The sequence below is a fragment of the Homo sapiens genome, chromosome 9 (assembly GCF_000001405.40).
Source record: "Homo sapiens chromosome 9, GRCh38.p14 Primary Assembly".
Lineage (NCBI taxonomy): Eukaryota > Metazoa > Chordata > Mammalia > Primates > Hominidae > Homo > Homo sapiens.
The window spans coordinates 3289685-3305232 of NC_000009.12; the positions used below are offsets into that span (position 1 = coordinate 3289685).

General features: G+C 32.6%; 1 protein-coding gene across 31 annotated transcripts in view, besides 1 other annotated feature; it reads right to left on the bottom strand.

The window, feature by feature from the left end:
* The window catches only part of RFX3 (regulatory factor X3), a 307705-nt gene that overhangs the window by 71388 nt on the left and 220769 nt on the right, over nt 1–15548 (bottom strand). For 25 of the 31 annotated variants that reach the window (NM_001282116.2, NM_001377999.1, XM_047423696.1 and 22 more), the window contains 2 exons: nt 11862–11936; nt 3393–3574 (listed from right to left, as the gene is read on the bottom strand). In NM_001282116.2, coding sequence (NP_001269045.1) covers nt 3393–3574; nt 11862–11936 — 257 coding nt within the window. The remainder of the gene's footprint in view (nt 1–3392; nt 3575–11861; nt 11937–15548) is intronic. The other 6 variants (XM_047423701.1, XM_047423699.1, XM_047423697.1 and 3 more) reach the window with 1 other exon arrangement.
* Nucleotides 1220–2021: an enhancer, noted in NCBI's record as "H3K27ac hESC enhancer chr9:3290904-3291705 (GRCh37/hg19 assembly coordinates)". NCBI's record gives its function as "activates a minimal SCP1, AML or CMV promoter by ChIP-STARR-seq in naive and primed H9 embryonic stem cells {active_cell/tissue: H9 hESC(naive and primed)}" and the evidence as "EXISTENCE:reporter gene assay evidence [ECO:0000049][PMID:30033119]".

The window sequence follows — 15548 nt, forward strand, 5'->3', positions numbered from 1 at the left end:
AGGTTCTTTTTATTTCATTGGGAATGGTTGGGGGAGAGAAGCATATCCATGGTCTTCTTTACTCAAATTTAACTTGGAGATGGGATCTAATAAAAGGTACCTTTTTATTTGCCTTTGTTTAAAACAGTGATTTGATTTACTTTTTGTTTACTTAGGTCCAAAAACTTTAGAAAAGATCTGGTTCTGGTTTGAGTGGTTTCACCAGATTATTTTATTGATAGATAATATTAATAATAGTTCTACATATAGTTCATTTTAAAAAAAAGTATTTAATTTGCCTCATGATTTATATTAATTTTCCATCTGTTCCTTGGATTAGGAGTAGAAAGTAAATGCTAAACAGTTTCTATGGTAGAAAGAATGTCTAGTACCTCACTCCTACAATTGTCAGTTTTTTTACATTAGAATTCTGTCTTCATAGCACTTCATTTCTTTAAACTCCCTCCATAGTACTTATTTTCTCCTTATTTTTCTAGGGTTTGCTTCACAAACATAACTGTAAACACTACATACAATTAAAAAAAAAAAAACAGGAGACATAATTCATAATTGTTACCTAGTTGGGGGTGGGAGGAACCCAGAACATCAGAAAGTAAAAGCGGCAATATTGCAATACGTACTTACAGAGTATGGATTCTACTCATTCACAAAACCAAACAACCCCAATTTTGTCCCTTTCTATTTTAAAGACTTGTTTCAACGTTTGAATGGAGCCTCAAAATAGGACCCATTGAAATTCCTTTCAGTAACAAAAGAAGGACAACAATACAGCTATTAGAATGTTGAATAAAGCCCAGAGTTTCAAAATATTGGCACGGTATGCATAACTACAGAGCCACCAGCGAGGAGATAGTAGGTTAGGTCCCCAAATAATGATTTTTGTGGTTTTGAAAAAAAGTACTATAGAAACAAAAAGTTTTCTCAAGGGAATGAAAACTATTCCTTTAGTGTGAATAGACAATCACATTCTTCAGTTTAAAATATACTATCTTTTGAAGTACAGAAAGAAGGAAACATATTTATGAGAGAGCTAAACCTTCAGCAATCCAAAAGCTGTATAATCACTTAAAATGCTACAGAAAAGCAATAATTCATGCTAATACATACAGGCCTTGTAAATCTCATAAAACTGACACAGTGAAGGGGTTTAGGACATGCTATCCCAAACTATGGCACCTTGGCATTTGAAGAAACAACAGAAGCGGGCCACAGAAACCAGAAAAAATTCCCCTCACTCCTTCTCCTCTGAAGCAGGCCATAAAACCTAGCTTACTTTCTCCTGAAAATAGGTCATGAGACCCTCATTCCAGAGGGGTCCTCCTATACCTTGCAGAAAAGAACGTTCTTATTTTTGAAGACACAGGGATGCAGAAAAATCTGAACAAACAGGCCTTGCTGGGCTGGGTGCGGTGGCTCACGCCTATAACACCAGCACTCTGGGAGGCTGAGGCGGGCAGATCACCTAAGGTCAGGAGTTTGAGACCAGCCTGGCCAACATGGCGAAACCCCATCTCTACTAAAAACACAAAAATTATCTGGGCGTGGTGGAGTGGGGTGGTGCCTGTAATCCGGGTTACTCGGGAGGCTGAGGCAGGAAGAATCACTTGAACCCGGGGGGCAGAGGTTGCAGTGAGCTGAGATTGGGGCACTGCACTCCAGCCTGGGCAACAGAGCGAGAATCCTTCTCAAAAAACAAAACAAAAACAAAAACAAAACAAAACAAAACAAAACAAAACAAAACAAAACAAAACAGACCTTGCTGAGTTTCCCCCAGATTAGAACCATTAGATCATACCCCTAGAACCATTAGATCATACCCCTTTCTGTCCAATCATGTTTCTCCAGAACTATCCACTTCATCAGACTGCATAAAATACATACAGTTCTCTCTGTTTCTTTGGGCCATCATTTTTGAAAGCTCCCAGTCATGTAAAACTTATATTAAACAAATTTGTATCCTTTTCTGTTGTTAATCTTTCGTTATAGGGGTCCTAGCCATGAGTCTTGTGGTGGTGAGAAAAAGATCAATCTTTTCTTCCTACAACACTCACTCCTCTTTTTGGTATACATTTTTAATGAAGTCAATTACTAAGGAAGGCTGTGTTTATTTTATTAAGATTAAAAACTCTTCACTTTGGGAGGCCGAGGCAGGTGGATCACAAAAGAGATGGAGACCATCTGGACTAACATGGTGAAACCCCATCTCTACTAAAAATACAATAATTAGCTGGACGTGGTGGCACACACCTGTAGTCTCAGCTACTTGGGAGGCTAAGGCAGGAGAATCATTTGAACCTGCGAGGCAGAGGTTGCAGTGAGCTGAGATCGTGCCACTGCACTCCAGCCTGGCAACAGAAACAGAGTGAGACTCCATCTCAAAAAAAAAAAAAAAAAAAAAAAAAAAAAAAAAAAAAAACTCTTTACGAAAATACTCTGAAGTTGTGCTTTATAGCTAATTAAGGGTATATCACCTAATGTTGTATAGTACAGTATCTCTATTTTAACTTTTTATGTGATTTCTATAAGATTTAGGAAATTAAAAACATCCATATCCTTCTGTCCAGCTACTTAAAATATTTATCTTATGATAATTTATAGAAATATGGAAAGACAAAAATGAAGCCCCAGAGTTCTAAGTATTCTTTTCATGATATTTTGGTTAGTGAAAACACTCATATTTATTTCCAAAGGAAGAAAAACCAGAAACAACTTCTTCACATTGTTTCAATTCAATTGAACTATACTATGTTTTTCCTTCCACATACACATGGTTTCATATTAAGAGCAGAAAAAAAAGTAGGGGCTAATAAGAGGTAAAATAGAGCTATCTCATCACTGAGGAATTTAAACAATATTTTGCAAGTTTACCAAATGATTTTTAACTGGCCTCCAGAAATGAAATGAAAAAACTGCTTTAGTTTCTTACTCTATCCCAACAGTTATTTATAAAGACAAATGTAATTTTTCAAGAGTCAAGTGATACATAGTTTTCCATTTACTATGTCACTTAACTCATCATCATTAGTATGATTTCTTTCAATAAGAGAATACATTTTTATGTGCGTGTGTGTGTGTATGTGTTTGTGTGTGTTTTAAAGCACCATATGCAAATCTTGCATTAACAGGTTGGTCTGCTAATTTCTATGTAGTTTGAGAATCAGCTCTTCTCAAAGCTTTGCTCAGTTCATGTTTTAGACAACATATAATTGTGGCTTGGAAAGAAGTCACTGAATAATGTCCTTTCCTTTTCCTGGGGATGTTATAAACTGAGCTCATTCTATGTATTTCCTTATATATTGTCTGTAATCAAGTACTTTTGTTTAAACAATATATTGAATTGCCCTAGTTTGAAAAAGAGAGATTAGTTTATGATCTTATTTTTCAATACTAACCTAGTGCCCAATCTCCTGGTTCGTAGCCCCATAAAAATTGATCTTATTAATTTTCCAAAAGAGGCAGCATTGACTGGGTCCAGTTTGTGTTCCTGACAGTGTCGAAGGTAGTGGTTGTACAGAGTGCTTCTGGGAAGGCTCACTCCTTCTGCTGTCTCATAATTGTCCAACAGCCACTGGAGCTAGGGAAATAAGACACAATAAACACAGACAAATCACATAATTTGCCAAAATTTCTACAAGACACTGCAAATGCAACATACAGAAATACTTAGAAGTTCTTCATCAAGTCTTATGATAGAGTAAACTGCTATAATTCAGAAGGTGGTAATCTGCCTTTGAAAACGCTCAGAAACACTGTAAATAGCTGAACATCACTAAGGATCTCAGACAATATCCATTTCTTCAAATATTCAAGCACACGTAGAGACATACTAATTTTCCCTGTATTGATTCCAATTTTGAAAATAGACACCACTTCAAGGAGTTCAAATAATCCCGTTAACTGGTCATAAATATCAGAAATATGATTGCCACAGAACAAAATATGTTACCAAGCCTGGTAGCATGGTAAACAGTATGTCTTTAGTGTTGGCTTATTATAACATATGAACAGCAGGCTGCCTGGTATGAGTGTTTATATTAAAGTTACATTCCTTTTTATAGAATTTTAATTTATCTCAAATTACCACTAGATAATAACAATATTGTCTACTGCGACAGATTCTGAAAGCAGAAAAGACAAAATTCAGTCGTTTCTTCCCCAAATGAAAATAAACTGACAAGACATTGGCAAAGAGTTTACATGTAATGAAAAGGAATCATTTATTACAACCATTTTAATTTTTCTACCTCAAAACTGTGTTTATTCATTATTCTGGAAGGCACACTGCAATGATAGTTGGTAACACAATACTTTTTCAGTCTATGTTCACATTCTAAAGTTTTATGTTATCCTGTGTACATTACAAAAAAATCTTTAAAGCACTGAATGTACAAGAAAATTTTAGAAAATTGAATCCAAGTCTATATTATTGAATTTTAACATTAACAAAATTAAATCTTTTGTTCATTTATTTATTTATAAAAGCAGAACTGAAATAGACTTAAATAACTTTCTCAAAGTCACATATTGTCTCCATGCCTGAGTCTGGTTTCCAATTCACATTTCCTGATTACTCCAGACCAATGTTTCACAAAAGCAGTAAATATTTCACATTACTTGTGTCAACAAAAATTTTCATGCCATATGTAAGACAGGTGTAATAAAGAGCTGACATTTAACTTGCAATTCAAGTTATTATAAATTATAGAAGCCAAAGAATTCATTTATTGAGCACCAACCATGAGCCAAGTAATGTGCCAGGCATCTAGTGATGCAAAAATGAATGTGATCTCATCCTTGTCCTCTAGGAATTTCCAATGAAATGCTAAAAATAATATGGACATTTAAATAAATAAAAAATTTCTCCATTTTACTTACATATTTTAAGATTTGCAATCAAACTTAGAACCTGAATTTTCAGACTTTTAATTTAAAAATTCATTAAAAATATTTTCAGAATTACTGACTTTAGTCATGACAACTGAATTTCCAAAAACCATTTTAATGTCAAATATTCCTACATGATGTTTATGTAATTAAACTTATGTCATTAAACCCATATTGATAGTTGGCTTTGAAAACATAGCCACCAAATCTACAAGACAAACCAGAGTACTTTTAAAAATAAAATTCAGATTTTGATCAGAAAGACTTGAAGTCCTTCACAGGACACATATACGAATGAATATGCACATTTAAACATGCATAATACCTCTTAACATATACAAGGCTGACCTATAGAAGTTTAAAAAGATTACACAAAATAAACATTTGTTTTTACAATGACATAAAAGTATTACAGGCCAAAATAATTCTTTTGTTATGAATCATCTATAACTTGATTGTCAGTAAACAAGTTTTCCAGGGGCGCTTAAACATGATTTCTGAGTATTCTAAGTGACACACAGAATAGGTTTGCTACACATATTCATTTAGTATAAAAGAGATAAGGCAGTCTGATTGGGAAATTAAGTTACTGAGGTTCAAATTAGTATTTTGCCTACAACAGGGGGACAGCATGTCTCTTTAGTGTTTTTTTTTTAAGACTTTATTAGTTTTAAGTATAGCTGAGGGAGACTACACATAAAATGCAGCAATAAAATCCTGATTCATATATTTTATCCACATGCTTTGGTAAAATGATTGAGATTGGGAAGCACTTGAGTGATGTTATGGCAGCCCTAGTGAGCTGTATTGTACAACAGTGCTGGTTCTTGTTTTGTGTACATATACTAGACAGAGCAAGGGTTGACCACCTTCTAGTGGCAGTCTTAATATATTAAAGAAGGGCATATAGGTTCTTGATATCAAGGACTATAAAGAAGACACGAAAGAAAAAAATTCTGGAAAGGCAGACATAAAAAATGTAAATACTTTTTGAAACAGAGTAGTATTTTTCAACTAAACTAATGAAGTTTCCACATCCACAAGCATGGAACACACAATATGTGTAAGTTAAAAATGCCAAAGATATGTTTGTAAGTACATCTACATATCCTCATAAAATAATGCATATTGTCAAAGGTATAATAGCATGATTTGTTCTGAGTAAAGAACTCAATATTGCTTCCTTTGCTAATGAACAGAAGACATATCATATAGAAAAATCTTCATTTAAAGGGCATTTTTTTAAAGAAATGGAATTAGTCAATCTTATAATATGAACTTTACAACCAAAAGTATACAAATAATAAAAACAGATCTGATGTAATTTTAGTCTGATAAAAGCAAATTAAAAAAATTTTAATTAACCAGAAACAAATAAAACATTTAAAAAACTGCCCTACTTGTGTACTAGTCTTCTTGCAACATTAAATTACTTAAAAATAAGACAAACATGTAAAAATGAGAGCTTACTTATTTTTCATGATCATAGGAATTATCTTGTAGATTAAAATTTTTACTACAAAATTTGAAAAAGAAAATCCAATAATAGAATATTTGAAGGATACTGTAAATTACCTTTTATAAAAGTAAAAGCTAGTACAAATATTAAAGTTTAATATAAAATATTTTGAGTCCAATGGTATATTTACATTTTTATATATATATATGGGTTAATCAGACCACTCTTCATAAAGAAAACTTTTCATAGAAATAGTGAGATAATTACAGCAAACGTTGGCACAAACTACTTAGAAGCCTAAATGATATTACTTATATCCCAATTGAATAATTTACAAGAAGTGAAGCTTTTACTCGATTGGCTATGCAGGCCACTGAAATGGCTAGGTAAGTCAAAAAATCTGCACCGTTTTATAAACTGATTGTTCTTCTTATATAGTTTATATTCTTAAACTGAAGAAATTCTGTTTAAATTCTTCATTTCTAAACTAGTTCAAAAAATCAGTTTGTTTATATGTATATATGCATATACATATATATTTATATAAATCACTAGTTAGTTTGAAAAATGGTACAAGAACAGGTATTTTGATGACTATCACTTTGACACTAGCAAAGCTACGTTTTGTTCCCTACCCGTTGTATGCAGAAGGAGGAACTGTATTCCTTGCCAGATGCCTGGAGAGCAGGTTGAGAGAGAATAAGGAAGTCAAGTGGAGGTAAAAGCCCTGAAAGGATGGAGATGGCTTTGCTGTAGCCCTGCAGGTCCCAGCTAGGAAGACTGCCAAAAACTAACCCACCTCGGGCTAGATCGCCTAGAAATTCACTGTATTAACAGAAATTGATTTAAAAGGATCCACCAGACAAGACTTTGAGATGTGGCTGGGGATTATAATCTCCATCCTATACGCCAGTATTTAACTTTTACGTTTTGACACAGTGATGGAATTATAAATCAGACATTTGTGTCTAAAACATAGTATTAGGAAGCATTACTTTGACTGTAAGAGAAACTTGGCAGTTAAGTTTTTGTGTAAGTTTAAGTGCAACCTAAAGGCACAGGCTCCATGAGCTACCCAAGGGAAGTTAATGCCTGTTAAATATCGTTTTCTTGGGTTTTGTCTTTAATACAATGTATTTGGACATTAGTATTCCCCAATCTTAACATTCAATAATTTAGAACGAAACAATTATTATATCTTTTGCTCTTTTATAAAATGTCTTGTAAAATGTATGCTGACTTCAAAAGCCCATAAAATACCATAGGAATGATTTCAAAAGCCCATAAAATAACATAGGAACTTTTAACCTTTATCTTTAAAACTTGATTACTCTACTTATGAACTAATATACACTCATTTAATGGTGGAAACGAAGATAATTGCATCTTTCAACCTTTGCATTTAATCTGTATTAATCAAGATAGACTAAAGATGAATGGTTCCTGTTTTTCCCAAAGGGAAATCCTGATTGACAAATAAAAAGAAATAAATATTGCATTGCCCAATTAACATCTAAATGTAACATTTGTCATTTTTTCCCAGATGGATTATTACCCATCAGGATTCATTTTAAGTTCAGTTTACTAACGATATGCATTTTGACAGGCCTTATTTCTGTAATAACTTATATTTACAATACAGCAAAGTCAAGGAAAAGTGAGTAAAAAACAAGGTTTTGCTTTGAGCTAAATGTATTTTGGTAGCTAAAACCAGCAAACAACAGGAAATAATTATTTGCTAGATTGTGAGAAGTACATAAAATAGACGGCTAGAGCTTTTCATAAACTTTAAATGGAATTTTAAAGAAATGTACAACCTTAAATTTCATGCGATTATTGGGAACAATTAACAACATTTCTGAATTCAAATTTACAATGTAAAATAAGTAGTTTGTAAATAAGTGAACACACCACAACCATTAAATACTAATTCATATTAATTAACACCAAGAAAAAGTATAAAATAATCTTGTCTGCAATGAAAAGAATTAAATATTTTAATTTCATTTAGGCAGACTATACATCTCATACTGTAGCATCTTCATATATAAAAAAATTAGAAACAAAAATATTTAAATAAAAAATTATTAGACTAATAGAATTCTGTAAAACCAAATCTAAAGTACCATTCTAAAATACCAGGAGAAAAACAAAGTCACTCTTGGCAAGATCTTTTTAAAAGATGAGATTGTTTAGAGGAAAAAAAGAGTTATTTACTCTTAAACTGAAGGCTGCATATAGAGAAATAATTGAGTGACCATACATTCTTTACTCAGATGGTATACCAGAAGAAGACCACCCTTTACCAACGATGTTCACATATATATCTACTTGAAGCAAACTTGAAAAGAAACAATACAATAAATGTACACATGATTGGCAAAGGCATCCTAGAATTCCTAAATAATGAAGGTAACATAAGGCCTGATCCCTTCTATTGTTTCTTTTTATTCATTCAGCAAATATTTAGTGAGTATCTACTATGTACCAGGCACTGTTCTAGGCACTAGGGATGCACTGGTGAACAAAACATACAAAAATCCTTACTTTCTTGGAACTACCACTTGCAATAAATACTTACTAAATGCCTATTAGAGATGCTGGTACTAAAATAACTCCCACCATGTTAATTCTCTTAAGAATATGTTGAAAATGGGGTAGAAAATTCAATACCTCACCCCATCTTCTAAAGTGTGGAAAGGTGTAAAGCAAAGCAATCAAGTTGGATTCTGCTGAGGGGATTATTTATCTTATTTAGTCCTAATAAGAGTTTTTAAAATTACTGTGAATAAGCAAATACAGAAACAGAAAATAGGAAGTCTTTGCTTATCCATATTCCAAAATAGAATGAGAATAGACTTTTCACCCAAAAGTCATGATTAACACCTCTCCTTAGAAACAGGTAAAATACGGGATGCAAATTATTATCAATAATTTCTCCCAATGTTTTTACATAATAAAATTGATCCTTTGGAGACAGTGATAAATCAGGGAACTAATCATCATAAAGCGGAATTCATGTTCACCTTAAAGAATCCCACAAACCTCAAATAATTCTATATTATGCCCCATATAGTGAGAAATAAAGGTAACATAGTTTACTAACATTTAAAATATTAACAACAATTTTTTTAAAAAACTCCATCTCTCCACTGAAAAAATTCTACACAACATAAAAACACCAGTTAAATTCACAGAATGTAAAATACTTTTAGCAAATAGTTATCAACCAGAATGCATGCACTAGCAAATTCCAGTTGTTTTTGATAAATCTCAGAAACATTAAAAGCATCATCAACTTTCCAGGGAGGAAAAAGACAACAGGATCTTTTTCTGTGTTTAGGAAGAAACTAACCTCACTGATCAGTCAGTAGAAGCACTGATCCTTTCTCCACTGTTTATAAACCATCCGTAGAATCATTTTTGTTTCTAAATATTTGACTATAAATATATTTTTGAATGAACTTCACTGTGCCTCAAGGTGTAATAAAAATGAATCAGGATAGTTGGAGAAAGATTACCACTGCACAATCAACATTTGCGCCCACTCTTTCCACATACTGAAGTGTCTCTGGGAGTTGTTAGCAGTATGGAAGATCAGACATATTATGTAATAAAAAAAATGAAGCCATGAAGTAATAAATATTTGTCATTGTTTATGCAGCTTAATTCAAACATTTATTAATCTTAAACATTCTTTCATGAATTCTATAAAGAAAAATAATTGTTAAAAATCTCTAACAGTTGAAAAGCTTCAAACAAATCAACAAATACATTTTTAAAATATATAAGAAACATGTTCTTATACTTCCATTATTGTTCATAAAAATACTAAGATGAATAACTGAAGTTAAATTTAAAATTAAACATATAACATATTTTACTAAGTTATTCATGTCAAGTAAAAATGAACCCTGAGTTGAATATGAAAGCACAACTTGGAAGTCTGAAAGCTGAAACAGGTAACTGGAAACTTCAGGTTTTTTTTTTTCTTATGTCCTTGCACATTTGTGACTAAAAGGAAGAACAATTTCACTTCCCATTTTCAAAGCATAAATATAAGTTAATCATCACCCCCCGGACACACACAGCCTAGTAGTATACAGGAAATCAGCCTTTAATGCAATCACAGATACATGCCAACATAGCAGGAATATACTTACGAAACATAAAAGAGTGACATACTAAATACCAATTTTCAGAAATGAAAAAACTTATATTTCTTAAACTCTTTCAAAAGGAAGGGCCAGAATATATACTATCATGTTTAAGTTTGTATGTATAATTTGTCACCAAATTTATAGGCATTCTCCAAGTTGGCTAACCTGGTTTTGTTTTCCATGATACTTTCCTTTGAAAAAAGAAACAAGACAAAATACCCCATCTAAAAACAAAGTGTAAGAACATAAGGAGGTAATTAGTGCTATTTTAAGATATAAAATTAAAATTTTTCAAAGATCAAATACTTAAAAAAAACACAGTTAAAACATTTTCTATGAGTAAAAGTTTTAGGTTTATTGAAAAAAATGGTCTTATTTGGGTGATCCAATATCGAGCTTTTCAGTTATAAAATATGAAAAAGAAATAAGAAGTCATAATACTTTATCCCTAAATTTAAGAACAAATTGTCAGTTGTGGGAGAAAATTCTAAACTAAAATGTCACTAATGTTAAGTTAGCAGAAGATATATCTAAAATGAATTTACACCATGGGTCTATTTACTTTTTTCCATATATTCAGAAATCATCTTAACAAAACAAATTTTTATTCAGCATTTTCATTGGTTTCCCACATGAGAACAGCTGATAAAAATGTTTATAATTTCACAAAACTATCATCACCCTTCTTACACTTACCAGTGTCATAGTGATATCTGCATCTGATAACAGGAAACAGCTTCAGGGCATAGTAATGGTAGTTTTATCTCAATTATTAGCAATTTATGGCTTGTAGACAGTCTCACTTTTTCTTTTGGTTCACTTTTACTTCTCTTTAGGTCTTAGGACCTGAATTCAACTATGGGGTTGTTTACTGCCCACCTTACATAGTCTTACTGGTAAACAAATCATTTTCAAACAGTTTATCATTGGATTTCACATTAATCATCCTTTTTCTACTTAAAGAACATTACTGGTCACGCAAGTAGACATGGCTGTTTGACAGAGATGCAGATTACAAGTATTTGCTTCATAGTAAATAAATATCAAACTGGAACATTTTAAATATTGAAAATCACTATTATTACTTTGTACAAATACATGGCAACTTGTTACTAACTCGAAAATATTATATCTGTACCCAAAGAGTACAGAAACCTAATAAATTATACTGGAGACTCTATTTTTTGGATATTTCACTGTACAAAATAGCCATTAAATGACACAGAGATCATAAGGGGCTGAGAAGGGAAGGTTAAGAAGCAAAATAAATAAGTAAATAAATAAAACAAGCATTTAGAGGCAAGCAACACATGCAGAACAAGCAAGAGATTAGTGTACATGAAGAAGAGGCAACTTACATGGCTGTTGAGAAGAGAGCTTCTGTGAGTGGACAGACCGTCAGACTTTTGCAGCGTCTCAATCGCCATTTCAATCTGATAATAGATGTCATTAAAAAAAGGGCTCAAGACAAGATAGTAATAAAAGGCTGACCAGAGAATTTCTGATAGATTCTTTAAAGTCCAACTTCTTCCTCAACGGTCGTTAATGAACAGTTGCCACTTAATGTGTTTTCTCCCCTTCTTCCCCACCCTCCAGAGAACAAAATAAAAATATGCACACTAATAATAAGCCCATTCACAAAGTAAACCTTTTTTGAACATTCCATAATTATAATCAGAATGGAGACCTGAAGAGCAGGGACCCTGGTGGATTTTTCTTCTTATGAATAAACATTCTTGACTTTCATAGTTCAGGATATGGGATAGTAACTATTCTCTTTCTAAATCGTCTCCCACCTAAAGAGTATTTAATATTAGTGCTATTCTCTCACGAAAGGAAAATCATACCGCAGATTTTGAGTTTAATATGCATTAATATTTTAATGCAAATGAACAAAGATTCTTTCATTAATGTCCAAAAGTTACTAAATCCATACATCCCTCCATTAATCCTGTATTAAAATATGGAAGTAGGGGGTCATCAGTATGAACAAATATGAAGAAGTAAAATGATGGTCCCTACATTATATTTTACGATGTGGTGTTAAGGCAGAAATATTAGAAATGACAGCAGAAATGGAATGAAGAAGAGAAAATAATTCAGAGACAACAAAGAGAAGGGACAATCACAGAAACAGCTCTAATCTGTGAAATCTCAGCATACCATGTACGATTATTAATTAAGTACCAGGTGTTAGTGATAAATGTGATACACTCTTAATAACCTCATATTTAAAGTTATCTATCTTTCAACTCCTGGTAGTATTGCATGTTGCATTAAAAACAGGTACTGAACACCATGTATTTGGATACTGAGCTATATTAACAATATTAGCTAAATTCAAAAGAAAAAAATCACACCATGCAATTTAAGAGAGAAAATTGATTTCATTATTCTTAACAGTCTGATTACATCAACAATTCAGTATAAGCAGTTATAAAAATATTTAGAGCTTTAAAACATATTTAACTTTCTTATACTTTGACTATGGAAATTGATAATGCCTTCAAATTTTAACATACTGCCCCCTCCCAAAGAAAAATAATGCAGTAATATCTATAGCAAAGTCTTAATTTTCTCCCAAGTTTCCAATTTCTTTATGGTAAAACACTTTATACACAAAATACTCAGTATCAATTATACCAACATTAAATCTAATTTTCTTCTAAACAACTTAGAAGTTAATAGCTTTAATTTTATTTTACATTATTTTCCCACGTTGCTAATTCTTCCCTGGAGTTAATAAAACATAATACTGAAAAGAGTATGTTAGGTTAAGAAATCATAAAAAAATTCTTAAAATAGATATTAAATTAATTCATAGGAAGATGTAATACAATTTATCCTACTGTTAACTTTTTTTAGACAACAAAATTAAGTAAACTTCTTAATCATTCTCTTCTAAGAAACACAGGCTTCTAGAAACATAGGCTTCTACAACATTCTCTCTGCCAGAATGGATGTTAATGCAGTTTACCACTATACTTGAAAATAGTGATACTGCACAAATGAAAAGAGATATATTACAGAAAGAGTAATGTAAATGTAATGAATGAACAAACATTTTACCAAAATGTTAAACTGTGAAACTATAAAGGACTTTGGTATAACATCTCTTAAAACATGATCAATAAGTGCTTTTTTTTCAAAGAGAAAACAGAGCAGAAAACAAGTCAAAGGATTCATATGACTACAATTCACTTATAGGAAGAATTTGCTCAAAACCCTAATTTGCCATTATACCTATATTTTCTTTAAAGTTTGAGTGCAGAGAATTTGAGGTAAGATTTCAGTCTAGTAAATATAAATAAAATGATCTGTAACTTTTGATATTATAATTTTTAATGAAAGGTAAATTACCAGATACATAATTGCTGAGCAACACTAAAGGAGAAGTCCATGCTCTCAGTTTGTTAATAAGCACTTTTCAGTTGGATAAACCAGCACTTCTTTTTCTGGGAAAAAAAAAAAAGTCAGAGATCTGCTTCTGTTATTGAAGCTGTTATTTTATAGTGGTCCTAGATTTCCAGATGATTCCCTAGAAGGCCAGGCTTTTAGGAAATGGCCTTCTCATTTCTGGACAGTTTTTTAAGAGCTTTGGAAAGGTGCAAGGAAATATGTGGGTGAAAATGGATTCCCCAGGAACAGATACACTGACATTCTAGAATGCCTTGGACCTTCAGAATTTCGGTTCTTCTTTGTGTCACTTTGTAACACAGATAACAAAAGGGGTATTTCTTTTGGCTTTAGGAATCTTCTGCCTAACTGACTTAGGCCTGTGCCGAATTTGTGTAGCCCGGGGAATGGAAAGGAAGAAATATGGAATGATAGGACAAGCAAGAAATAAAGACTGAGTTCTTCTACAAGGAAGACACCAGCCTCAGCATGCATGTTGGAACCTACTTGGAAACCCACGGGCTTCCAAATACTAAATACTCATGAAATCTTTAAGGCTTATTAATTAGTCCAATGGGATAACCAGGCCATTTAGTTACCACCTCACTGATAAGAACTTCCGAGAAGCATACAAAAAATTAACATGTATTTATTATATTCATTTTAAAAATTTATTGAAGGGAATTCCAATCTCATGAAAGGATCATAGCCCTGATTACATTTTTTAAAAAACAGTTTCTTTTCTTTTTTAAGTACATAGTAACTGTGTGACTGTCATATATAAGGTTGTGTGCAAAAGATCATGATTACAAAAATTTTTCATAATCCAATAGACATTACAATCCAGTAAGAGAGACAGGGTATACACATGGTCATATATATGAATAAATGCATAATTACCAAATTATATGTCTCTGTCCCCACCCAAATCTCATCTTGAATTGTAGCTCCCACAATTCTAACATGTTGTGGGAGGGAGCCAGTGGGAGGTAACTGAATCATGGGGGTGGTTTCCCCAATACTGTTCTTGTGGTAGTGAGTAAGTCTCACGAGATCTGATGGCTTTATAAAGGGTTTCCCCTTTTGCTTGGCTCTCATTCTCTCTTGCCTGCTGCCATGTAAGATGAGTCTTTTGCCTTCTGCCATGATTGTGAGGTCTCCCCAGACACATGGAACTGTGAGTCCATTAAACCTCTTTTTCTTTATAAATTACCCAGTCTCAGATATGTCTTTATCAGCAGCATGAGAACGGACTAATATGCCAAACAAGACTACTTGTAACAAAAATACAAGCATAGTTCAGAAAGGTGGAAGAAAATAAGAGTAGTAGTCTTTAACTTTTGAGGAGTCTTTAACCCTTTTGAGGATGTAATGAAAACTGTGAACTCTCTACTTGGAAAAAATATATATAAGAACACCTACAAAATTCACATTTATTTTCTTAGTTTACAGACTCTCTGAATTCAAAACCCATGTATTAAAAGATGGAAGTGTTCAGGGGGTAAAAGGGAAATCTAGGAAGAATCGACTTAATAGAGCCAGGAGGCAAGAAAGCACAGGCTGTGTCCATATTTGGGAAATGGCAAGAAACCTAGTTTGTAGGGCATGAGCTATAAATATACATTTCATGTATATATGGGAGTGGTATG